Genomic DNA, 26,953 nt, shown 5'->3' with positions numbered 1-26,953 from the left:
TCTTTCCAGAAGACAGTTTAAAAGGACACATTTCATCACCTCTCAGAAGGGGTTAACATCACAGAATTCCAAGTCTGAGGGTGGAGCCCTGATCCTGAGAAGGTTTTGTTGAGTTCGGGACAGTATTTCTTTACCCATCCTTCATGAAGATAAAAAATGAGGCAAAATAGACACTAAAATGGTCTCTGACATCTCCTCATGCCACCAGACAAGGAGTAACCATGGTAACAAGAAGCCTAGAAAAATTGGGGAATGAGGAAGACCAGGAATGAGAGCTCCCCTCAGCCCTGGGGGGACCTGAGTGTCCACAGCTGAGCCTTCTCTGCTTCCCTTTTCTCTTCTGGATTCTGATGGAGGATATTTTCATCTTCCTCCCAAAATCATCAGAAAGCATAAGGACATATATAAACCGCTTTGCAAAAAGAGAGTGTATGGAATAAAAGAGAAAATGAAGAAGAGGAGAAAGGTAAGATACTCCTTACACACACACAAGACTAAAGGAATAACCTGGGCTTTGAAAAGAGCATTAAAAGTTTGTTTAATAAAATAGTCTTTGCTGCAAGAGCTTCTAAAGAGATCAGATATAAAAACCAAATCACTGGGATCTTTTCAAAGAAGGGACTCCCATCGTGCCCGTGAGGAGGTTGTCAGTTCCCCCAACAGTCCAGGAAAGATCCCCTGCGGCCCAGTGGCTCTGCTCACCCTGAGGCCATCCTGTTTGAGAGATTTGCTTCACCTGGGCTGGGAGGAAGAGGAAAGCTTTTCTGGAGAGCAAGCTCAGGAAACCCACCCTTCCCGAGTGCCTCCAAGGCCCCAGGAGCCTGGCAGTCCTGGCCTGGTCTCTCCACAGGCCGCAGCCTCCCTTGCTTTGCCCTCTTTGGTTTGAAAGTTTCTCAGTATACGTGTGGATTTCCACATAGCTTGGAGGTTTCTCATATGTCCTGTATGTATGTATGTTCCACCAAATCTGAACATTGTGTGTTTGGGGGGGGTTGTGTGTTTTCTGTTTTGTTTTGCCTTTTTTGAGATGGGGTTGTGCTCTGTTCACCCAGGCTGGAGTGCAATGGTGTGATCTCAGCTCACTGCAGCCTCAACCTCCCTGGCTCAGGTGATTCTCCCACCTCAGCTTCCTGATTAACTGGGATTACAGGTATGTGCCACAATGCCCAGCTACTTTTTTGTAGTTTTAGTAGAGACAGGGTTTTTGCTACATTGCCTTGGTTGGTCTCAAACTCCTGGACTCAAGCAATCTGCCCACCTTGGCCTCCCAAAGTGCTGAGATTACAGGTGTGAGCCACCACACCCGGTCCAAATCTGAACATTAAAGGCATGTATGTGTGTACATTAAATGTATGTCTATTCATTTGAAATGTATGCTTAATTAAATCTGAGACTGTGGACTAATCTATAAAACCAAGTCATTCAAAGTGAGGGCTAGACCCGGGATGACTGTCTACAGACAGAGCTGTATCAGACTGGGAGGACCAACAGTAGATGCTTAGGATCAAAATTCTACAGTCACATCTGTTTTAATTCCTAAAACCATTGTCAACTGGGCTTTAAAATAAGACCTACAAAATGCTATAAACTGCAATCTACTTGAGTCTATTTTAGTAGCAAGGAGAGGCACTTCAGGTTGAAGGAATGGGTTTGCTCCTCAGGATACCTCATTGAAAAGGGCATCAACTCGAAGCCAGAGGCTAAGTTGGAGGAAACAGTTCCCTGGGACTCTGGAAAGCCGCAAGCAGTAGATTCAGGCTCTCCTGGCTGTGGACTCAGCTCCCTCCCACTGTGTTCCTACCCAAGTCTCAGCTTAAGAAAACAGAAAACATTATGTTTATAAGCTTTCCTCTAAATACAAGCAAATGCATTGTGTATTTGTTTCCTGAATGGTTCAGTAAGGTCTGCACATCTAGAGATTTTTTTTTTTTTTTGAGACAGGGTCTTACTCTGTCACCCGGGCTGGAGTGCAGTGGCGCTATCTCAACTCACTGCAACCTCTGCCTCCCTGGTTCAAGTGATTCTCCTGCCTCAGCCTCCTGAGTAGCTGGGACTACAGGTGCCCATCATCATGCCCAGCTAATTTTAGTATTTTTAGTAGAGATGGGGTTTTACTGTGTTGGTCAGGCTGGTCGTGAACTCCTGACCTCAGGTGATCCACCCGCCTTGGCCTCCCAAAGTGCTGGGATTACAGGCTAGAGCCACTGCTCCTGGCCCCCGGTCATTTTTGCCACAAACATTGAGCTCAGATTTGGCTGGGCCCCGCCTCTCACAGATGAGGGAAACAGCAATTTTGCATGTCTCTGCTCTAAATTTCGTGACCACCAGAAGCTGGATGGAAGTAGACTGCACCTGGGCCTGTCTGCAAAGTCAGGTCTCTTTTGTAAATATTTTGTATCCCTTGGCTAATTACACAAAGCATTAGTCTGATCTCACAGTGTGGGAGGTCTGTGACTTTGCTGACTCTTGATGCCAGCCCATAGGCAGACTGGAACATTTCAAAATCATTTTTTAAAAGTTCGTGAGAGTAAAATATAATGAAAATTGTTCCTAAAAAACAAAACTGTAAAATAGCTGTTGACTCTTTTAAAAAATAACAGAAGTAGCTCAAGATTCTAAAAACAGCAGAGGAGATTGTTCTGTGTAACCAGCAATGAGCAGGCAGGCTGTAGTGATGATCGACATCTGTGTTTGCAAGAGCCAAAGGGTGCCGCTCTTTTACGGGTCTTGGAAATAAATCTTCGGTATGTAGATAGCTAAGAGCTGACCATTGTGTCTCCATTTCAAATTGTGTCCTTTTAATGTGGAAGAGGATTTATGAACTTTATTATCAACATGTAGCTTGTTGAAAATCAAATTTTTGTTTATTTCAGGAAAGCAGAAGTACTCAAATTATTTTATTAGACTTGATGAAAAATGGGCTGGTTGTGCTCAGAGACTTTGATTCTGATTCTAGCTCTCTAACCTTCAGCACTTCTCTGCTATTTCTCTTTTAGGTTATATTTTTAAATGAAAAAATAAGCAAAATCCTCTGCAGTGTTGAAAAAAAGTTGAAGAGCTTGGTCCATGGGTAGATTAATAGATAGGAAGATGATGGACCAACAGATGGATGAGTGGGTGGGTGGGTGAGTGGAGGGGCGGATGGGGGAATAGGTGGATGGTTGGATAGGTGGGTAGATGGGGGGATGGATTGATAGATGGATAGGTGGATGGGAGGGTAGGTGTGTGGATAAGTGGGTGGATGAGTGGAGGGGTGGATGGGGGAATAGGTGGATGGTTGGATAGGTGGGTAGGTGGGTGGATGGAATGATAGATGGATAGGTGGATGGGTGGGTAGATGTGTGGATGAGTGGGTGGATGAGTGGAGGGGCGGATGGGGGAATAGATGGATGGTTGGATAGGTGCGCAGATGGGTGGATGGATTGATAGATGGATAGGTGGATGGGTGGGTAAGTGTGTAGATGAGTGGGTGGATGAGTGGAGGGGTGGATGGGGGAATAGGTGGATGGTTGGATAGGTGGGTAGATGAGTGGATGGATTGATAGATGGATAGGTAGATGGGTGGGTAGGTGTGTGGATGAGTGGGTGGATGAGTGGAGGGGCGGATGGGGGAATAGATGGATGGTTGGATAGGTGGGTAGATGGGTGGACGGATTGATAGATGGATAGGTGGATGGGTGGGTAGATGTCTGGATGAGTGGGTGGATGAGTGGAGGGGCGGATTTACCCCTACCATTCACTCTCACTCTACAGCATGATGTTGTGTTCATAAGGAAAGAGACCAGCAACTCTTAAATGAGAAGTTACAAGTCTTCCATATCAGGTGAATCCCAAATGTTAAAGCGATTTTCCCAAATTATCAACTGATACAAATATGAAATCAGATCACAAACTCTCCTTAAAATAACTTTAAAAGAAAAGAATACACTACAGGTATTGTTAACCAAGTTGTCATTCATGTGAAAATATTTTTTGGCTGAAAGATCATGGTGCATGTAAAAGCATCATTACCTTAGGTTCACTATTTTAGACACTACTATTTTTAATAAAGGTTGATAAACATTCTTACTGTGATGGGAAAATTTGTTCAGTCATATGTACATTTTGGTTAAACCTCTCTTAATCTATCGGCTAAGATTTCCAAGTGCAGAATGACTGAGCTCAGCCTGAGGAGCGGTGAGGGTACTTTCAGTGGAAATGCACAGAAAAACTGTTTTTGAAGGAAGATTTTGAGGACAGAATTCCAACAATAATGTTGAATATAAGAAAGGTCTAAATTTATTTAGCACAAATAGAATTGTACACATTAAAAAATTTGCATTTTTCAAGATAATTTTCAGACTTTGCAAACAACTATATTTTAAAAGTGAGTAACACCAAATCAGACTAATGAAGAGATGTAATTGGGCTACATAGATGGAGATTTCCAATATACAAGAGAGGAAGGGGGAAGGTTGGTGATAGACCACTCTTTTCTATGTCTTTCACTATTTTCCATATTTCTTTCTTTAAATACACTGCACAGGAGTATAGAAAAAAGTGAAAATACAGGTTGACAAACAGGAGTTCATTATTTAGAAGAAACATAAGATTTAAACTCTGGTAGTTCATTACCATCAATGTAGTTTGTATGCCCAGGAGACATAACATGTAGGGATTTGAAGTGATATATTTTGTGAGCTTTTGTAGCTATCTGTAAAAATAGAATTTCAGAGTTTATACACATTTAAACTTGAACGAAACAAGGATTTAACTATTATTATTAAAGATGAGATCTAACTCCCAAGTGGAACTTAGAAACACAAACCGTTGGCAACTCCAGCGTTGTGCAGGTGACTTCCGTGCAGTGGGGATTGCATATGCTGGGCGACGCAAGGGAAACTGCACTGTTCCTGCAGTGTGTGCTGTGCTGTAGATGTGGGAATCTGCACTGTTCCTGCAGTGGGTGCTGCACTGTAGATGTGGGAATCTGCACTGTCCCTCAGTGGGTGCTGTGCTGTAGATGAGGGAATCTGCGCTGTTCCTGCAGTGGGTGCCGTACTGTAGATGTGGGAATCTGCACTGTTCCTGCAGTGGGTGCCGTACTGTAGATGTGGGAATCTGTGCTGTTCCTGCAGTGGGTGCTGTGCTGTAGATGTGGGAATCTGCACTGTCCCTCAGTGGGTGCTGTGCTGTAGATGAGGGAATCTGCGCTGTTCCTGCAGTGGGTGCCGTACTGTAGATGTGGGAATCTGTACTGTTCCTGCAGTGGGTGCCGTACTGTAGATGTGGGAATCTGTGCTGTTCCTGCAGTGGGTGCTGTGCTGTAGATGTGGGAATCTGCACTGTCCCTCAGTGGGTGCTGTGCTGTAGATGAGGGAATCTGCGCTGTTCCTGCAGTGGGTGCCGTACTGTAGATGTGGGAATCTGCACTGTTCCTGCAGTGGGTGCCGTACTGTAGATGTGGGAATCTGTGCTGTTCCTGCAGTGGGTGCTGTGCTGTAGATGTGGGAATCTGCGCTGTTCCTGCAGTGGGTGCCGTACTGTAGATGTGGGAATCTGTGCTGTTCCTGCAGTGGGTGCCGTGCTGTAGATGAGGGAATCTGCGCTGTTCCTGCAGTGGGTGCTGAGCTGTAGATGTGGGAATCTGCACTGTTCCTGCAGTGTGTGCTGTTCTGTAGATGTGGGAATCTGCGCTCTTCCTGCAGTGGGTGCTGAGCTGTAGATGTGGGAATCTGCGCTGTTCCTGCAGTGGGTGCTGCACTGTAGATGTGGGAATCTGCGCTCTTCCTGCAGTGGGTGCTGCACTGTAGATGTGGGAAACTGTGCTGTTCCTGCAGTGGGTGCTGTGCTGTAGATGTGGGAATCTGCACTGTTCCTGCAGTGGGTGGTGTGCTGTAGATGCCTTCTTCCCTGGAAAGTGTGGTGTGAACTGCAGGTGCTGATGGCCCATGGACAGAGGGACCAGACTCCATTATCTGAAAATCTCTAAAAGAAGGAAAAAAATGTTTACATTCCCAAACTTCAGAAACCATTTTGGTTGGTGGCATCATTTCTCAGTCGATTTTGTATCCGGCAGAACCAGATTGAAGTTCATCCCAGCTCTCAGCCAGATCCTCCTGCTTCAGATTAAGCGGAGCTGGGAAAGGACGATCCATGTCCAGCCCTCCCCAGGAGAGCAGTGTCACCATCATTTCGAAGAGCCTCCATGTCTCTCATGGTTTGAGGTTTGGAAACGAGAACCACAGAAGCCTGCAGTCGCTGCCTGACAGGGCGTGGGAGACCACAGCCAAATCTCAGAGGAGTTTCTGGAGGGAAGACTCATTCTGAAGAATAAGAGAGAGAAGACCCAAGAACCGTGTCTTCTGAGGAGATGAGAGAGGAGATCATGAGCACCAGGTGGTTGTCGAAGCTTTAGGAGGTTTGAAGAGAAAGGGTGCTTGGATGGGGAACTACTATGGGATATTAGGATTATTTTCCTTTCATGTTCTTCCTATTCACATTCACTCACAAAGGCCAGAACCAGAGGGCTAAGAGAGTGACAGCAAACTGGCTAACTGCTTGCCTGCCCTCCGGTTGCTCAGGTGAGCTATGGTGTCCTGCTTCCTGACTGTGAGATCATTTATACCGTTCAGAAAACCTGGGAGTCCTGTAGGGATGGGGTGGTACAAGAGCTGGGACTTATCACCAGAAACCTCCAAACAAGCCCAGCTCCATCTCTGTGTGCTCTTGGCCATGCCCCAACAGTGCTGAGCAACTGTTTCCTCATTTATTATTATTATTATTATTTGTTTTTTGAGACGGAGTTTTCGCTCTCGTCACCCAGGCTGGAGTGCAGTAGCACAATCTCGGCTCACTGCAATCTCCGCCTCCTGGGTTCAACTGATTCTCCTGCCTCAGCCTCCCAAGTAGCTGGAACTACAGGCACGTGCCACCACGTCCAGCTAACTTTTGTATTTTTAGTAGAGATAGGGTTTTGCCATGTTGGCCAGGCTGGTCTCAAACTCCTGACCTCAGGTGATCCACCTGCCTCGGCCTCCCAAAGTGCTGGGATCACAGGAGTGAGCCACTGTGTCCAGCTCATTTCCTCATTTATAAACGGGGGTGTCTGCCTGCTCTTCTCATAGGATTTTTGTGAGAATCAAATAAGGCAAAAACACTTAGTAAATTTTGCAGCTCTGCGGAAAGTATGGACTTAACACGAAGCTCTGTGATTATTATTTCTTAGACACATATGTTCACAAATGCTGGTCGATACTGTCTTCCTTGTGTCTGTTGCCTCCGTGTGTGATGTTTGAGCCTTTAGCCACGAGAGGAAAATGAGTAAGACCAGAGATTTGTGGACAAGCCCATCACCCTGGGGGGCACACCAGGCTCCAGCCAAAGGTGGGATAAAAGCCCTTTGCAAAAATGATGATGATGACAATAAGGTGTCTAAGTCACAAAGCATGACTGCACTTTCCTCTTCACTGTGAGGACCAAATATTCATTTTATACATGGCTATGTTCCATGTGTAACTATATATATAGCAAAACATGTTTGACAGTAAGGTTACTATATCCAAAAGACTCCTAGCCTCACACCTATTCAGCTATGGACTCCTGTGATCAAACGTTTGCAGCAAGAAATGTTCTTAAATCTGTAACGTTAAAATAGTTGCTTGAGTAACTTCAGAGGCTCAACTAATCATTCAATTGCTATCGATCACCCTACTAGCTCCAATACTTACACCTGGTGCAGACTGGCCCTTGGAAGAAGCTCTTAACTGAAAATAGCAATGAAGAGACACAACTCAATTGCACTTTCTAACTAGATTTCTATAAAAACCATTTAACTAGTAACTAAACATCACTGTGTAGTTTTAGAAAATTCAATCTAGCCAGCGAACGCAAGTAGTTTTACAGGCTTAGGAAACCAAGTGCTGCTTTGCCTCTCAGAACGGCTTGTTTTTGTCATTTATATTGCTGTGGTTTTAATATCAAATTACTTGATTTTTGAATGTCACAATACTCTCTGGTTTTTATATGAATAAAAGTAATGAAAGAGAAATCTATTAAATCAGATCTCACCTTACAAAATATTTGTATTTCCGAGAAGTTTCAGGTCAAACATGTTCTACTTTAAACAAACTGGGCCAGATTTACTGTTCCAGGGAATTTGCATTGAATCATTCAAATAAACAGTCATTACCCACTTCTCATTTATTCCCTATGAAACGGTGTCCTTTAACAATTTTTAAATTGCAGTCACAAGCCTTATTTTGTCCTTTTTTGGTAAAGTATTTTGCTCCAGGGTTTTTCTATACAGAGAGAGAAAACAAGTTGAATTAGAGAATTGTGTAAGAAAACATTCCTCTTGCTGAAGCTTAATTTTTAAACACTGAGTCTGTGGGAAGTGAAAACTGTTTTATCTGAGCAACTGTGAAAGCACAATAATCTTAAACTGAAATTTGGGCTGGAGCATCTCGGAGATGGAGGACCACACCTACCTCATCATTTCTTCCAGGACTCTCCTTGGTTTCTACGAAAATGACCAGACATCCATGCTGATGACAGAGCAGAAACCACAGCAAAGTGAGCTGAGTCACCGACTCCATTAACTACTCTCCAGATTGTTACTTACTCACAGGGAAAAAAAAAAAAATCAGGGAGAACAAATCTTTGCAAACTGCCCTAATCCCAGGCTTGTGTCAAGCAAATATATTGTGGAATGAGTTCTTTCTTAAAGTAAGAATAGATTTACAGCACATGATTGGGGTGAAATACTGAAAAAATACAATTTAACCTCATAAAGGGAAAGCAGTAAAAAGCTTAGAGGTCTTCATTCACCAACGCAGCAGCTCAGAGGCATGAAACCTAATAGAGGAAATTGAATCTAATATTCACTTTCTCCCGTGCCTGACTTCCTTCTAGCCTCTGTATTATTCATTCCATCTTTTTAAGAATGGAAACAGCACAGGCCTGTATGTTTCCTGCTAGGAAAATGCTTACTGGACGGATACAAATGTTGGCTCTGTTTTACTACTAAAAACACTACTTATATTAAAAATATTTTTTAAAATACAGAAAAGGAAGGAAGAAAGAATGGGAGGGAGAGAGGGAGGAATGGGAGGAAGGAAGGAATGTATTTGATGGAAAAAAATCTCATTTTCCCACTTGACATTTTAAAAGGTGATTCAAATAAATATAAATCTTAATAAATATTTTTAATTTTTTTTTTTTACAAAATCTGTGACTCAATTTCTTCTTCTTCTTCTTTTTTTTTTTTTTTTCCAGTTGGAGTCTCACTCTGTAGCCCAAGCTGCAGTGCAGTGGTGCGATCTTGGCTCACTGCAACTTTCACCTCTGGGGCTCAAGCGACTTTCCTGCCTCAGCCTCCCAAGTAGCTGAGACTACAGGTGCATGCCACCACACCCAGTTCATTGTTTTGTATTTTTAGTAGAGACGGGATTTCATCATGTTACCCTGGGTGGTCTGGAACTACTGAGCTCAGGCGATCCACCCACCTCAGCCTCCCAAAGTACTGTGATTACAGGTGTGAGCCACCACACCCGGCCTCTTCTTATTTTTACAGGAAAAAAAAATCCAGATGTGGGAGCCTCTGTCTATGTTGCTTGGAATATATTGCAGTACAGTAGTGGCTATGATAGCCTTTTAATAGATTTTTACACCATGATCGAGCCCGTACACACACACGGAAAAGTTTAGGAGACCATGCATCATTATGTGCATTGCATTGAAATATTTTTTTTTCCAGTTCCTTCCTTCTTTTCTTCTTCCTCAGTGCTTGCTTGTAGAGGCTCAGTACATTAATTTCATGAGCCAAATGGGTCCTAATCCAAAATTTGAAAAACCCTGCTAAGAGAATGACGCTGCAGCTACTGTAGCCTATTAACCAGCAAGAAGGTCCTGGGCCCCTGACATGACGGTCTGGTGTAATCTTGACTGGACCAGGAATACTTAGTTCATGTGGGGAAGGGACAGGAAATGAAAGCTTTGGTAACTTCAGAAGCTCAACCCATCATTGAATTGCTACTGACCCAGGAATGGATCTTTATTGAGGTTGTCAGTTGGTCGCTAGACTCCCTGGAAAGGCTCAAGGTAGAAATGAACTGTTTCAAACCAAGCAAGGCTGAAAAATAGGCCTTTAAAATCCAGACAACATGGGTCCTGAGACAGCTAGTGTCTGCGTGGCTTTTCCCGGCCCCCATGTCCACCCTATCTGATGTTGACAATCCCGCAGTTTCACTGCCACCGTCATCGACAAATCTTTGCCTTGTTTGCATGAAGTTTGGAAATTAGTCCTTATTTTACTTCAGAAAAACCACATCAGCGCATGGAGATGGTTCGTCTTGCACTGAGGCTCTCACGAGCCTTACTGCCTGCGAAGACTCTGACTCCAGAAGCGGTTCTCCATCCGTAATGGAAAGTCGACATAGAGGCCAGGGGAGGCGAGGCAGGGCTGGAGCCATGGACCTCACCTTTGAGGACCAAGAATGTCTTTCAGTGAGGAGAGGGGCCCACTCACACAGCCTGCCTGCCAAATCGCAGAACTCTGTAGGACACAGGTGTGAACATGAGAGTACTTTTCTAAACTCTTGACTGCTGTGCTCCCCCTTTTGATCAAGAGTCAAAAGAAAAACAATTTGCTATGTTTTGCATCTTCTATGACTGGGCAAAGTACATGGAGGTTGACATGAACAGTGTCATGTTTAGGTCCCTGAGAACTGAGACCAGAACAAACAAAGGCTTTTAGCTTTCGTGAGAGCCCTATCCAGTGTTCATTTTAATAACAGCGATCTCAGAAGTAAACTGTCACTTTATAAAAGCGATTGTCCATCATTCGGTTACCTGGGGCTCATCCAGACCCAAAGGCTTTGGGATGGCCAAAGCCAGAAGCACCCCCCGGTCCTGTGTGGTCACCATGGCTGAGGCCAAAACAAAAAGGTCATCAGCTTCTATTTCTCATCTAGGCATCGGTCTTCTGAACTTTATTTATTGAATTTACTAGACATCCAGATGAACAATAAAACTCTCTTTTACATTTGAAAGGTCAAATCAAGATTAAGTGAGTTAGAGGAGCATTAAAGAATATCCCTGCAACTGCTCACGAAGTACTGGTGTTGTTTAGGGTTTGTTCTCTGTGCATGGAGACTCAGCTGGTCACACAGGAAACTTTGTATATTCTTAAGTCAATGCATTCATTAAAAATAACGAAGCTATTATCTATTTCCATCATGCTCTGATTGTACTTTACAGTATTACATTGCCACTCCTAATTTCTCTTGTCTTAGGGCTTTAATATGTGAGCCTCTCCTCTGAGGGTAAAACCTCCAGCAGAGGAGGGAGACGGCTTTGCTGTCTCTCACTCCCCCAGTGTATAGCACTGGGCTGTCCACAGACCAGCTTCCAGGATATGTTCAATAGGTTTATAAATGTCTTCAAAAGGAAGGGGTTGTATATTCCTAACTCCTTCACAAACTATTTGAATCTCTTCATCCGATATCACGTAAATTTCTAGAACCTAAATAAAATGAATGCTCAAGGAAATAGTAGCTCTCAGTGCTTACTTTCTGGGGAACATCAGCTTTTATGAATGAATGCACCTCGAAAACCAAAACTCCAGCACAGAAATGGCCTCTGCAAGCTCAAGACTGTTAGATGCCAGTCCACCGAGGTTGAAATATTGGCAAACATTAACGGCAATATTAATTTAGCAATGAGAATAGAAGAAAGCCAATCGGCCAATTCGCTTGGCCAGGCCCTTCATTTCCACTCATTATGCTGAGGAGCTGTCAGAGCCCGGGACCAAGGGGCTGTGGATGTCCAGCCATCTTCTCCTCTTGCCCTTAGCGTTTCCTCATAACTCACTCCCAGGAAGCCAGCGCACATTTATTTACCAGGCTCCTTGGGACACCATATGCAGTCACTCCTGGACTCCTGTTCATGGCAACAAGAAGGGCCCCAGCAAATCAGAAAGCTGCTCACCCACGCTGCACGGGGCTTGCTGATGTCCCAAGTTCCTCTCTTGAGGCTCCGCGGTTCTCATGTTGGGGCTGACCCTCTCACACTCGCCATCCCTGGGGCCAGGCCCCAGCTTCCCCCATTCAAGCATCAACTCCAGGCAGGCGAAGGACACCCGGCTCCCAGCAATCCTGGTGCTGCGGTATTTAGTCCCTCCCTTCTCCTTGGCCTTGATCATTGCCTTGGCCACCCTGTACGTTGGGTGACCCCATCTGTCTAACACAATCTCGCCAGTGCCTTCTGATTAGATCTCAGCTTCCTCACATGACTTGGGGCTCCAGGGTTTGGGAGGCGCTGGGCTTTCCCTTGGTTTTCACATTACACAGTGACTGATGAGAAATTCCCTGCTCCAATCTAAGAATCCCAGTCCCAATGCCCACGGGAGGAGGGAGGAGCATAGCCCCATCACCCAGTGGGCTGCTACTAGTGAGTAAGGCATTTAGGCATAGACAGTGCCTTTAAAGACTGAATGTTGGGGTTTGAAGGAGCCAGTCAACCCATGGGAACACCTGTCCCCTGAAACAAGGAGGGGAACACGTTTATAAACAGGTTTTCAGCACCCATTCCAGTTGAACATGGGAACACCTGGTATATCCGAGGCTGGCTCTATAACACCTGGTACATCTGAGGCTGGCTCTGTAGCACCCAACACTACCAAAGCTAAAAGTCCGTCTTCTTCAAAGGAGCAGGGATAAGAATTAGGTCAGCTCGTGCAAAAGCTTTGCAAAGCTCAGTGATTGCGAATGACCATGTTCTGAGCATCAGCACACAAGACAAAAAGGTTTAGAAAACATTCTGGTGTCTCTACGTCCTTAGAGACCAGCACTCCATCGGGATTCTTTTGGGGGAAGATTTTATCATGGAAGTTGGGGAGCACATTATTGACTTGACAGCAGATTAAGGCTATGAAGAAAATGTGCTAAAATAAACAAATTTGTGCCCTGCAGTAATGGTGAAATTGCCGGTAATCGCTAAGTAAAAACCACTGAAGAACAGGACAGAAGCCAATGACCACCTCACCTCCACCGAGTGCCCTGCAGGTAATGACATACCCAAAACCAAGAGAGGGAACAGCTTTGATTGATGGACACAAAAGGAAGTCACAACAAATATGTGTGAATATAAAACCTAGGAAGATCTTTCTTTCTTAGACAAAGAAAGATGATTAACCCGGGAGCCCTGTCCTGTGTGTTATTTGAAGAGGCTTTTGTTAAATCCCCAAGGCAGCTTTGTGGACTCCTCAGCACACCACACTTAGGAAATAGGAGAGCGGGGTGGTGAGGAGCTGTGTGATCTCCTGGGAATCCCTCCTTCTTGGGCTGGGATCCCCTCATTCGCCAAAGGGGGATGCCACAACCTTACAACCTGAGAGGGGCTTCAGGGCACCCTCTGGCTTTTACCTGTGAGAAAGGATATTGTACGTTTTCAAAGGCCAGAACTTATCCTACTCCAAAAGCTGTCTCGCATGAAAAAGTGTGAAAATTTGCACAACCAACAACAAGGGATAGCACATTTAATCCACACAAGGTGGGGTGTGGCCCGGGCCCAAAGTGCCATTCAGCATCAGATCTGGAGCATGTTTCGGGACGGACCCATGGCTGGCACCCATCATGCCAGGGAAACGTAAGCCATTGAAGCTAAAGTGTTATGGGTCTAAGTATCAAGATGTTTGGCATTGTGTGTACAAAAACATCGATAATTGGGATGTACGTTTCCGTTTTCATTCAAAATATTATCAGTGGGCCCAGGTGTACTCTATGACCTTAAGAAATTATCTCATTTCCTAACTTTCATTTTCATATATTTCCTTCTTAGCTTACTAACTTTAAAAGATGCCCATTCTCTCCGTCAATCACTGTAACCTGTAGGCAACTTAGGAATTTTTTCAGCTTCTTGAGACTCTGGGGCCACCAGGGATGAAACCATTTGCACTTTTATTGGTTCACATAATGGCATTGGGAGGGGAGACAGGGAATACCTGTGAAGTCACAGAAGTATTTAACCTGTGCTCCTAGTATGACTGTATTAAACATAATAGTAATACGTATGTATTTTCAAAACCTTAAGATGATGCTCTCTGCTGTTTGCTATTTATTGTTATTATTTTTTGAGACGGAGTCTCACTCTGTCGCCAGGCTGGAGTACAGTGGTGCGATCTCACTGCAACCTCTGCCTCCCAGGTTCAAGTGATTCCCCCGCCTCAGCCTCCTGAGCAGCTGGGATTACAGGAGCGCCAGCACGCCTGGCTCATTTGTTTGCCGTTTTAAAGCTTACCACATTCACTTATTTTTCACTGATGTTTATACTTAGCGATGAGGAAGAAAGCTCAGGTGACTTGGCTTCCTCAGGGGAAGGTCTTCACGGAAGGTTTCCAGAAGACACCTGTCGGTGAGATGCCAGCTGCTCAAGACCCTGCAGAAAGCCCTGTCCCAAAACCCCCTGGAGTGCCCAGTGCTGGTGGGAAGGTCACGGGGGCGTGTTTTCCCAGAGAGACAATAACTTGAGACTCACTGTTGAAGTCACCCGTACCCACTCCATTAGAATGCAGAACCCGCCCCATTAGAATGCAGAACCCGCCCCATTAGAATGCAGAACCCCCCCGCCCCCACCCCCCACCCCGGCAGCTCTTTCTGCTCAGGGTAAGGCTGAAACTGATGGGCAGACAGCCAGGAAGCGTTCTGAGCTTTGGGTTCAAAAATGAGATTCAGGGCATGCGATGGGGTCCAGGTGGCAAAGGACCCCTCCCACACGCCCGGGTCACTCCTAGCATCGTGCTGGCAGCACCGACCCACCAGCCCCTCCTCCTCCTCGATCTCCCCGCCTTGGCCTGCCTCTCTCCATCTCATACACAACACACAAACCACACATACACACCCCACACACACACAGACTCACACACCACACACACCACATATGCACACACACATTCACACAGACACACACAATCACACACCACACAGACACACACATTTCACACACACACTCATACCACACATACCACACACAGTGTATATGCGTGCACACACACACACTGCTGCACACACCACACATACCACATATGCACACACACCCATTCACAGAGACACATACACACAGACACACACACACCACACAGACACATACACACCATGCACAAACACACAACACATACATATACTACGAAGACACACACACAGAGACACACCACACACACAGTACACATGCACATTACACAGACACATAAACACACACCACACATAGAACACACAGTGACACACCACATACACTTACACAGACACACCACACATGTGCACAGACACACACACATTCACACACACAGACACACACACTGCAGGTGTCCTTCACACTAAGCCTCCCTGTGTTCACTGAATGTCGGGTGGGAGGAATGCATCGAGCAGGGAGAGGGTCCCTTGACGAGGGTGGCTCTGGGTTGTGTCGCGCCCAACACCTGCAGGTCTCTCCCTTTCTTTCCTCTTCCAAGGTAACCAGCGTGTTGTTTTGTCTCTTTCCCCTACACGGCCAGACATGGCTTGCAGAGCAGGGGCTGTTCCATGAACCCCTGACTCTTCCTCACACTGATCTGTGTGTGTGCATCTGCACATGTGTGTGAATGTGTGTCGCATGTGTACACTGTTGTGTGTACACGGGCGCTTGTACGTGTGCCTGTGTGCGTGCATGCATGTGAGCCTGTGTACCAAGTCTCCCGTGCAGATGCCTGAGGTTAGTGGCTGAGTACGTGGAACTTGGAGCTCTTACAAGTACTTTGAATATGAAAAGACAAATTCGTGCAATAGAGGAGCATGAGTCCTTTGCAGCTCCCTAACCGTCCATTTCATGTCAATGCTGATGTTCGTGACTGTGCGGTGCGTTGACAGAATGACAGAGTCGGTGCCTCCCCGCACTGTGGTCCCGCAGCACGATTTTATTCAGCGTGCACACATGTGGGCTGCCGGAGTCTTTAGAGTAAACAGGAGCTCACGGAGACCTGGCTGCTCCCAGGAGCACTCGAGACAGCCTCCCATGACATAATATCGTTACCGTGGCAACAGGGATATTCACTACCAGAATCACAACTATATTTCACCAATTTAGTGCTCTACTAAACACAAAATAATGCCTTCTTTAATGATGCTGGGCTGTGGTTCTTAGAAACACGGAGCCCCCTGGAGCGGGAGCCCAACTGCAGAATAAAAGTGCAGAAGGAAGGCCCCACTTGTGTGGAGAGGCGCTGCGGTCTCCCGGCATGAGAAGCTGGCACGGTTATGTGTCATGGTTCTCCATAAGAACTTTTGCAGCAAATGGCACCCACACGCCTTGGTGGCAACTCTTCCAGCCTGGGATGAGATCGGCAGAGCCTGGGTCTGAGAACTGCAGCCAGCGACTCGCTGGGCTGTTCCATGTTCCAGGCAGCTCCGAATCATCTTTTTTTTCTTGAGACAGAGTTTCTCTCTTGTTATTCAGGCTGGAGTGCAGTGGTGCCATCTCAGCTCACCACAACCTCTGCCTCCCGGGTTCAAGCGATTCTCCTGCCTCAAGCCTCCCAAGTAGCTGGGATTACAGGCATGCACCACCACGCCCGGCTAATTTTGTATTTTTAGTAGAGACGGGTTTCTCCATGTTGGTCAGGCTGGTCTCGAACTCTCGACCTCAGGTGATCCACCTGCCTTGGCCTCCCAAAGTGCTGGGATTACAGGCATGAACCACTGTGCCAGACCCGAATCATCGTTTCTGCACATGGAGAAAACCACGTGGAGAAAACCGGCAGGAGAAGAGCATGGGGCAGGGTCTGTAGGAAATGCTCAGAGAGCTTCCTGGAGGCAGGGCTGGGGAAGGCACAGGGGAGCCCGGCTTCTGCGGACGTTTCCTCCCAGGATGAGGGAGGCAGGGCTGCTGGAAGACTCACCTTTCCTCTCACTGCACTGCCATTTGTCCCAACTCATTTCCGTTCTATGTTGATTGGTTCAGAAAACATCCTATTTGGCAAATCCTAAATAGTCTCACTTTCTGTCATGGTCGTGGAATCTCTCCGTCTCGACAATGGAACCGAATTGTAAAGCGACTCTAGCTCTGAATTCCTACCTCTTGCCTTTTGTTTTTTTCCTAGAAAAAGGAAATGGAAATCCTTCCTGTTATTCTCCGCGTCCCTTCGTAGAAGGCTGCCTGAGAGGTCAGCACAGGAGTCCTCTAAGTGCCCTGCAGAGAACACGGGTCTCGGAGCCGGACAAACCTAAATTTTGAAACCCACTTTGAGTTTGAACTTGGCTGTGGGAAAGTTACACAATCGCTCTAAGCCTCTGTTTTCTCATCAGTAAAACAGAGAGGGGTTGCTTGTGTGAGAAGTGGCCGCTGCCAATCATCTGCGTGTCCTTCACTCTCCCAGGGGCCATGGGTCTGTATTCTACACATGTGGGATCTTCCTCTGGACCCTTCGGACATGGTCCACACGCTGCCCTCAGGATCTGCTGGGGTCTGCATGGGGGGTGAGACGTGAACCCCAACCACGTTCACCACAGAGAGGAAACTGGGGGGATGGAGGGGGGGACAAGGCCAGGTCACCTTCAGGTGCCGCCCGCCAGCAAGGCGGTTTGCACCCGGCTGAATGAGCTTTAAAAAAGACAGTTTTTTCTGTAGTTTAGAATCATGGTTTCACTAAATGGTGAAATAATTTTATGCCACTTCCCCTACTAATTACCATCTCATTGTTATTAGAAAGGATGGTTTCCTTGAAGTCTAGAAAATTTTGTTCCAGTCCATTTCAACGGTGCAGGAGAAACGTGGCTTCCATTCCGAGGAAGACGGCGACACCTAGTGACCGTTCCCTCGCGGTGCGATGGCCTCACACCTGTGCGGCGGGTCGTCCGGGGCGTAGGGTGCTGCGGCCTTGCGGTCTTCCCTGCGCTGCAAGGCAGGGCATGGTGGCAGATTAACACCTGGATGAACACGGGCAGGTCAGGAGACAAATAAAACCCAGAGGTCTTTGAAACTTCAAAATCCCGTAGGGTGTGTGACCCCAGTGAGCCCCACGCTACATCCAGCGAGAACCGAGAAGTGATGGTGCAGACATTCTTGGGTCCCCCAGACAGAACACACCGGGAGTTACTGCCTCTTTCTCATCCCGAGTCCTCCTGACTTTCCCCAGCACCCATCGTGGCTGCAGCCAGGACACAGGTAAATGTAATTTCCCTCCCCTTCCATCCTCGCTTTCACATCGGTGTGATTGACTGAGGGCCTGCAGACTCTCTCCACGTGCGGGTGCCCTGCAGCCTGACACACAAATGCGTTCATCCTTCCCCTTTATCCTGACCCCGAACTAATGACGCAGCTTCCTGAGACACAGAGGATGCTTCTCCTCGTCCCCCCTCGCGCTCTGAAGTGGGAAAAGATGTGTTCCATCTGTTCTGGAATTTTCACTGTAAAGAAGAGAATGAATTTTAACTGTGTTTTTGACATATCCCTAAACAAGAAGTGGTTTATAGAGTGAAACCATTTTCCCTTCATCTAAAATTTAAAAAAAAAAAAAAAGAGAGAGAAAAGTGCAAGACTGAAGATGTGTGTTGAGCGGGGTGAGGAAGCGTGGGGGACTCGGCGCTGGAGGAGCCCCGGGTGTGTTTAGGGTTTGTGGTCAGGGGCCCTGGGCACCAGGTCCAGTCTGAAGCACCCGGGGGGATGGACGATGTTTGTGTAAGAGAGGGACAAAGGGATGGCAGGGTGGCCAAGCAGAGACGCGATTCCCTCTGTGCCCTTCCTGGACCAGCTTTGTATTCTAACAGCAACGTCTCTGTTCTTGGGAAGAGCTCCTCGGTGATTACCTGCCCGCCCCTTGTCTCCTCTTATTCCCGCTGCCACAGGGCAGGGCCGCCCAGCTCCAGCTCAGACACACACCTGCTCCAACTGCTGTGCTGGTCACAGGCCCAGAGCACCACGTGTCCTCTGGGGTCTGTGTGGTCGGCGCCGTGCGTGGGACCACTGTGAGTGACCCTCCTCTTGTGTCACAGAGCCACTGTACCCGTGTGCACCTGTGCTCTGAGACCTGGATACCCCTGGAAGGACAGACACCGAGGACCCGAGTGCACTGGAGTCCCGCTCCCACAGATCCTGCTGCTGGGAGAACTGTCAGCCAGGAACGGGACTGCGGTGGGGAATTCCTTCTGTCAACACACTTTCTAATCTAAGCTCCAGACTCCACTTCCAGACTAGCACAGGCTTTTTCCCCCACATCTCCTTCTCTGCAGCCGGGGCTCCTGCCGGGTCTGCGGAGCCCAGAGCCATGCTCTCTGCCGACTCCATCTCCAGATGCCTGCCCCGGCACCCACGCTGTTGCCAGGACACCAGTGAACCCAGACAGGGTGAGCAGGTTGCAGCAGGGTACCGGGAGGAATGCCCGGCTGGCCCATGTCTTGAAATCAGTCTCATTGAACAATCCGGGAAAGAGATGACCTAGCCTATTCTAAGGCTATCGATGTGAATTGGATTCTTCCATTTCCCCTGAATTCTCTGATTAAAATGATAATTATGCAATAGCTGTTTTCCATTTTAAAAGCTGAGTATGACTTCCCTACTTGGTGGAAGGCTGTCTGCCCAGAAAATGTTGCTATTTAATGCTTTCTGAAAAAGCGTTATCTGTATTGTATGCATAGAATCCACTTGTTGCCACAATGCCCCCTCCTAAAAATTATCGCTCGGGCAGAGACGCAGCTGGCTGGATCTGGTTCTGCCCCCACCTGGTCCCTGGGTCCCCTCTGAGGCCTGCGTCACCTGCTCTGCGCAGACTTCTGCCACCTCTGGATGGAGGCCATAGCCATCATTGCACAGAAGTGCACCTGCGCGCAGTGGAGTGACTAACGCCCGGCTAAAATGTCCAGGAGGCGGGGGCCAGTGGCCTGGGCAGACCCGCACTGGCTGGCCGCACCTGCCTGGTTTGTCATCACTGGTTTGTGAATAGGCTGGAAATGCAGAGAAAATCCAGACACTACACCAACAGGAAAACGAAGTCTCCTCAGCCTCCCATCACACAGCCACCCACAGTGCCAGGACGGGCTTGAGGTGTTTCTCCTGCTGCTTTAAAATAGATATAGATAGATGTCAGGCCGTTCCATTCGTAGCCATAGCTCACCCCTGGGTCTGGCTGTCGAAAACCTGTTTCACTATGGAGAAATGGGGCAAAAATACAAGTTATACATAGTCATTTTCAAGCGCACATTATATATATTCTGAAACATCAATAGGATTTCCACCCAGTTCAGGACACTTACCTTAAATGTACTTCAGCCTGCAGCCTGGGTAGTGTCATTTTGTGAAAAGGATGATATGCTATAAATAACTGTCCGTCAGACCTAGAAGTGGGATGGCTCATGAATAATGCATGAGCTGTGCACAGCAGCGCTGCCCTTTGAATCAGAGAACATGTTTTTCCCTATCTCCAGAGGGAGAAAGCCCTCTTCCAGCCCCTTTTTAAATTCTTCACTTGGAATGAACCTGACTCCTTCTTGGAAAATCCAACCCCAAATCAACACTCAAGTCCTTGTGTTTTCTTCTCCCCACTTTGAACAAAGGGTGGCTGTGGGTTTGAGGGTCTGAGTCTCTCCTCTTTGCCAAGGCTGCACAGCTGTAGCCCCCACTCCATCCACCTCCAGGCGCCCGAATCCATGCCAACAATTGAAGAACACGCGAGTGACCCTGCTACCGCAGGAGTGTGTTGCAGCCAGGGCTGATGGGGAGCAAATGCAATAACCCTATCTCTGCCGGACTTGCACCTGCTGCCGTCCAGCTTGGTCAGGCAACTCCCACGCAGGAGCCGGGTGACAGGCCTGGAGGGTGGCCTTGCTGGGCCTGGACACCAGCACACGCTCGAGGCAGAGCAGCAGGTCAACCTGCCATTGCCAAAGGCCTGTTGCTCTCCTGCTCCGCCAGCCAAGGCCTGGAAGGGAAGGAAGGAAGAAACAGGGCCCGAGTGCCCTGGCTGGGATAATACCAGGACAAAGGAAGGGGACGGAGAACGGCCTCTGCCTCTGGAAGGGAAAGTGATGGGGTCAGGAAGGAGGAGATGGTCCCAGAGCCAGATTGGAACCCGCCAATGCCAGGAACCAGCAAATAATTGTTGAACAAATGAATGAATGAGTTGATTGTTCTAAAACTTTTGATAGTCTTGGAATGGGGACAGTCCAAAGCTATAGGGTCTCATGGGATCATTCATTCTTTCATCACACGGCTGTGGAGGACGAGGCTCTGTGCCTCTCATCTAGTGGTGGATTTAGAGGAGTTATGAGTCACAAATGGGGCATCCGTTTACGATCTTCTATGGCCCATTAAGGGATTCCCATTCACCACTTAAGCCGCAGGACAGGGATATCGCGTTCCTTTTCATTCTCCGATCACTCACTCACCCACCGAGAACTGTGCTGAGCCCACCCCGTGCTCACAGGACGTGGGGCCCACAGTGAAGGGACGGGGAGGTGAAGTCAGGGAAAGAGGAAAAAGACGGATCCATTAGACACAGGACGTGGCACGGGATTGTTTAGGAAACTGCCATCTTCCTGAAAATATATATTGTCTTTTGATGACTCCCTTCTTAGGGACAAGTCAAATTAACTGAAGAAACTTCTTTTCCCCTTCCCCAAATTTTTGTTGCTACCGTGCAGATATGGATTTAGATGATAAATATCATATATAAAGAGGCCACGAGACTTCTGCTCACTTCCTATCTGCCGTGTCCCTGGCCCTGTGCAAATAAAACCTCTGGCGTCTGCATCTACCTCAGAGCCTGCTGCTGCCACCATTGAGAGATGGAGAAGCAGGAGAGTGTCTGGGGAGTCAGGCGAACCCCAAAGACAACCCACAGACTCTATTCACACAGGAGCTCGAGTGTGGGGAGGCCAGCAAGCCGCCTCCCTGGCCACAAAATCTCAGTCATGAAGGTAAAGGCCAACTACATTTTAATGCAATATGTTTTTAAAAACCAAAGTTAGTACAAAAACCCATGACAGACAAAATATCACAATTTTAAAGACAGAATTGCTGATACTGGATTTTTTTTTTATCCTATGTCTCCAATATGGCTCAGCACGGCACCGGGCCATTGTGTCTAATCTCGATATTAACTTGGCGTGATTTTTTTTCTTTTTTTTTTTTTCACTCTGTCGCCCAGGCTGGAGTGCAATGGCGTGGTCTTGGCTCACTGCAACCCCCACCTCCCAGGTTCACGACATTCTCCTGTCTCAGCCTCCCAAGTAGCTGGGACTACAGGTGCCCGCCACCACGTCCGGCTAATTTTTTTGTATTTTTAATAGAGATGGGGTTTCACTGTGTTAGCCAGGATGGTCTCGAACTCCTGACCTTGTGATCCACCTGCCTCGGCCTCCCAAAGTGCTGGGATTACGGGCGTGAGCCACCGTGCCCGACCAACTTGGCGTGATTTTCTTTGCATTCACGTGGATGTTTTAGGAGAGCCGCGGCACCCTCTGCCCCTCACTGTCCTCATCATCCACCAGTTCTCCACTCGGTGCCAGGTCCCCAGCTGGCATGCGTGACACCACTGCAACATGCTCAGTGGCCCCTGAACCTCCTCCAGGAGACGCCCACACTGGGTTGTAACTCCCTATGCAACATCGGCTTCCACCACTCGACGGTCGGCACAGAACCTGGTCCTCAACCACCCCTGAATACATAAACGATCCTATGAATCAATCCATCCATGAATCAATCCCCCAAGCGTGATCATCCAGACGGGATGCAAAAGATCCCGGTCCTGTTCTCCTTTCCCTTCCGCTTAATACCTTCGGCTTCCTCCTTTTCATACTCCAGCCTCCTGCCTCCTGACCCACACACACCCCACCCCTAAGCCAGCAAAGCCAACGGGTCCAGGGGTGACCTGCCGGTGAAGAGCGACAGAGCAGAGGCACCTCCTAGGGACTGGGGCTCAGACGACCTGGCTCTGGGTAAGACGTTACTCTAAACACGTTTCATGGTTTGTGTTTCTGCTTATATAAAATAGTCATCGGTAGGATTGCCAAGAGCCCAGTTACATTGAATTTTAGATAAATAATAAATAATATTTTAGTATAAGTATATCCCAAATATTGCATGGGATATACTTATAGCACAAAAAAAATCATGTGTGATTTATCTGAGATTCACATTTAACTGGGTAACCTGTATTTTTATTTGCTAAGTCTGGCAGCTCCATCACTGATGTGCCGTTTTAAAACTTCAGACATCACTTTGGCAACAGCATGGTGACCTCATCTCAACCCCCAGCTGTGCCTTCGAGTCTTATTCAAAACGGCATCTTTTTAAACTCCTGGAAGGACCAAGTCTCATGATTTTTTAATACATGATATTTGTCATCTAAATCCATATTTGTGCAGTAGCCACAAAAATTGGAGGAAGATCACAGCTGTAATCCCAGCACTTTGGGAGGCCAAGGCAGGTAGATCACAAGGTCAGGAGTTTGAGACCAGCCTGGCCAACATGATGAAACCTAGTCTCTACTAAAAATACAGAAATTAGCCAGGCGTGGTGGCAGGTGCCTGTAATCCCAGCTACTCTGGGGGCTGAGGCAGGAGAATCGCTTGAACCAGGGAGTTGGTGGTTGCAGTGAGCCGAGATCGCACCACTGTGCTCCAGCCTGGAGACAGAGCAAGACTCCATCTCAAAAAAAAAAAAAAAAAATGGAGGCAGAAGAAAAGAGGTTCCTTCAGTTCACTCGGCTTGTCTCCAATAAATGTGTCATTAAAAACAACCTAAGTTTTCAGGAAGACTGGGATTTCCTAAACAATTCTATGCCACGTCCCATGTCTTACGGATCCGTCTTTTTCCTCTTCCCCTGACTTTACTTCCCCCATCCCTTAACTGTGGCCCTGACCTCCTATGGGGCACCGGATGTAATCACAGCAGTTCTCAGTGGGTGAGTGAGTAATCAGAGAATGAAAAGGAAGGTGATACCCCTGCCCTGTGGCTAAAGTCATAAATAGGAATCCCTTAATGAGCCACATAAGATCATACAGAGATGTCCCATCAACAAAAGTCCTAGAATGATAATAATAATAAAGTCTTGAAAGATGTATTTTGGGGTAGGATATTAAACACAGAAGGAAATTAACCTGACACCAGGCATGTCAGCCTCGGTTCCCAGACCCTCCAGCACACACATCAGGAGACCCAGGTACAGGCTCATCTGTCTGAGTGACTTTCCAGCCCTGTGCTTGGCCCCTTGTCTGGTTCTGTCCATTGTCTGCCTTCTCTTCCTAAGCCATCCATGCACGTCCTAGACAGACACAATGACGGAGCCAAGGACTCTGTGAACGAGGACAGGACATGTTAGCAAAGTCCTCAGCTGCCTGACACTGTGGTGAGCCCATGGGAGGAAAACCATTGGGCCCCAACCCTAAGGGCCAGTCGTCACTGGGCCACAGAAAGGCACACAGACAGCCATCAGTGGGGCTCCAGGTGCCTGATGAGGAAAGACAGCAACATCTCATGCTTAGGGCATTCCCAGCTCAATGAAATAAAGGCAATATTTTATTTAGCAAAAATTGTCACTATTTGTTGGAATGAGAGTCCCTCCTCAAGGCTCACAAACTGTCTCCAGGAGGATTTGTGCCATGGACTACAGCAGGGAGATTGTTTTATCATTATGATTATGAAGTCCTACCCGGCAAAGTCTGAAAATTTTGGTAGAGAAAGCATAAACCTTCTGTGTCTGTGAAGGAAAATTGTTATTGCTACTGAATATATGAATGCAAAATGCCATAATACAAAGATTTTTAATGCATTTCTGTCATATAGAGGGAGAGTAGAAGCTGCTTGAGTTTATTTAAATATTGTTGACAGAAAACTGCTGTCTTTAGGAGCCTAGCCATGGATTAAGATTCATATATATACACATATATACATGCAAATTAAAATGTTGAAAAAGAGACACTTATCAACATAACCTTTAGAAAACCAAGAGAATCTTGTAGCCTGAGAGCATATTCACAGGAGAAAAGGGAAATTCATGAACACCTCATTTTACTTCCTCCCGTAGGAGCTGGGAGATGGGAACATCACTAGACCACGAGCCGGAATTGCTGCAGGAGGATTCCCACACTCTGGGCCTCCGTGGGCACCACGAGGACTGGACGTGCGACCCCAGCTCTCTGGGTCTCAGTTTCGTCTCCTGCAGAGCATCTGAGCTAGACCGTCTCTAAAATTTCATCAAGCTCCTGTATTCCATTCTATTCTGAGATGCCCAATTCTTATGCCTGCTAAAAACCACAGTGAGAAATAATAACCTATGTCCACATTTTTGTTTCCTAGGAGAAATATCAACATGCGTCTGCCAAATAAAATATTGTATTAAATGAGTTATTTCAAAAAGTATTCTTTGACCACCTCAACATGTGTTAAAAGGAATGCCACATGTTAAAAGGAATGCCTCATGTTACACGGAGTCCTTCTAGGGTAAGAAAGAGAGGTCATCTGTGAGACAATGTCTGCTTTTGAAACTCTCCACATAACCATGGCCAGCACTGACCCCTGTTGGAGTAAGATACAGGGAAGAGGCAGCCAGGCAAGCTGGAAGAATGGAAAAAGAAAAAGAGAGTCTAAGAGACAGGAAATTTGATACCAAATCCAGGAAATTTGATACCAAATCCAGGAGCGCTGCATCCTCTATACCAAACCCAGGAGCCCTGAATCCCTCTACACCAAATCCAGGAGCCCTGAATCCCTCTATACGAAATCCAGGAGCCCTGAATCCCTCTACACAAAATCCAGGAGCCCTGAATCCTCTATACCAAATCCAGGAGCCCTGAATCCCTGCATACCAAATCCAGGAGCCCTGAATCCTCTATCAAACCCAGGAGCCCTGAATCCCTCTATACCAAACCCAGGAGCCCTGAATCCCTCTATACCAAATCCAGGAACCCTGAATCCCTCTATACCAAATCCAGGAACCCTGAATCCCTCTATACCAAACCCAGGAGCCCTGAATCCTCTATACCAAATCCAGGAGCCCTGAATCCCTCTATACCAAATCCAGGAGCCATGCCTCCTCTATACCAAACTCAGGAGCCCTGAATCCTTCTATACCAAATCCAGGCACTCTGAATCCTTCTTTACCAAATCCAGGAGGCCCAAAACCCTCTATATCAAATCCAAGGTGTCTGGACCCCTGTATACCAAATCCAGGAGGCCCGTGGCCGTCTATAGCAGATCCAAGTACCTGTGTGAGAGACAATGTGAACTTGAGACCATGAGAACGACGATACGTCTGACCACATCGTGTCCCCAGCACGTGATAGGATAGTACTGGATTGGCCACAGAGCCGCCGATATGCACAACCTGTACAAAAACATCCACTTTTCAGGGAGGTGAAGACACAAGGGAGGGGGTCAGGAGGCACCTGCCAGGAAATGTGCTGTGTCTTTTAACTCAATGACCATTCCACACCTGGGTTATAACATTGCAGTGTCTATGGAATGAAATGGGGGAAATATAAAATGAATAAGGAAGGAAGCAGCACTCAAGAGTTTTATCAGCCAGAGAAAAGTTACTGTTAATATTGTTCCTAAGTTGTTTTTTGATTTTTCTTTTTTTTTCAAATAGAACCTGGATCCTATTGTGCTATATTTTTTTTTCTAACTTGACATGGCATCACCAGCCTTCTCTCTTGTTTCTAACTTGACATGGTACCACCAGCCTTCTCTCTTGTTTCTAACTTGACATGGTATCACCAGCCTTCTCTCTTGTTTCTAACTTGACATGGTACCACCAGCCTTCTCTCTTGTTTCTAACTTGACATGGTATCACCAGCCTTCTCTCGTTTCTAGCTTGACATGGTATCACCAGCCTTCTCTCTTGTTTCTAACTTGACATGTTATCACCAGCCTTCTCTCTTGTTTCTAGCTTGACATGGTATCACCAGCCTTCTCTCTTGTTTCTAACTTGACATGTTATCACCAGCCTTCT

The 26,953-nt window shown here is 47.0% G+C and overlaps 2 long non-coding RNA genes across 5 annotated transcripts, besides 2 other annotated features; one reads left to right on the top strand and one right to left on the bottom strand.

Annotated features, from left to right (window-relative positions):
• The first annotated feature begins 90 nt into the window (after positions 1-90).
• On the top strand, positions 91-25,346 carry LINC02668 (long intergenic non-protein coding RNA 2668). 3 transcript variants are annotated; one of them, NR_187502.1, is made up of 4 exons: positions 91-466; positions 1,053-1,150; positions 12,951-13,043; positions 25,028-25,346. It is a non-coding gene; the product is annotated as a long intergenic non-protein coding RNA 2668 (long non-coding RNA). The 3 variants fall into 3 exon arrangements; NR_187504.1 differs by lacking the exon at positions 12,951-13,043; NR_187506.1 differs by lacking the exons at positions 12,951-13,043; positions 25,028-25,346 and adding an exon at positions 9,256-11,529.
• Positions 4,256-8,596, bottom strand: LOC105376353 (mucin-5AC-like). Of its 2 annotated transcripts, none has more exons than NR_164118.1 (3): positions 8,469-8,596; positions 8,050-8,279; positions 4,256-6,344 (listed from the first exon to the last, which is right to left on the bottom strand). It is a non-coding gene; the product is annotated as a mucin-5AC-like (long non-coding RNA). The 2 variants fall into 2 exon arrangements; NR_164119.1 differs by having other exon boundaries at positions 4,256-5,967.
• Positions 7,671-8,870: an enhancer, noted in NCBI's record as "BRD4-independent group 4 enhancer chr10:3290932-3292131 (GRCh37/hg19 assembly coordinates)". NCBI's record gives its function as "activates an origin of replication core promoter dependent on BRD2, P300/CBP, MED14 and CDK7 cofactors, and independent of BRD4, by STARR-seq in HCT116 cells {active_cell/tissue: HCT116}" and the evidence as "EXISTENCE:reporter gene assay evidence [ECO:0000049][PMID:35650434]".
• Positions 20,302-20,801: an enhancer, noted in NCBI's record as "H3K4me1 hESC enhancer chr10:3279001-3279500 (GRCh37/hg19 assembly coordinates)". NCBI's record gives its function as "activates a minimal SCP1, AML or CMV promoter by ChIP-STARR-seq in primed H9 embryonic stem cells {active_cell/tissue: H9 hESC(primed)}" and the evidence as "EXISTENCE:reporter gene assay evidence [ECO:0000049][PMID:30033119]".
• Positions 25,347-26,953: the final 1,607 nt, after the last annotated feature.

This window comes from Homo sapiens, chromosome 10, assembly GCF_000001405.40.
Source record: "Homo sapiens chromosome 10, GRCh38.p14 Primary Assembly".
Classification (NCBI taxonomy): Eukaryota; Metazoa; Chordata; class Mammalia; order Primates; family Hominidae; genus Homo; species Homo sapiens.
This window is presented reverse-complemented; position numbering and strand designations above follow the sequence as displayed.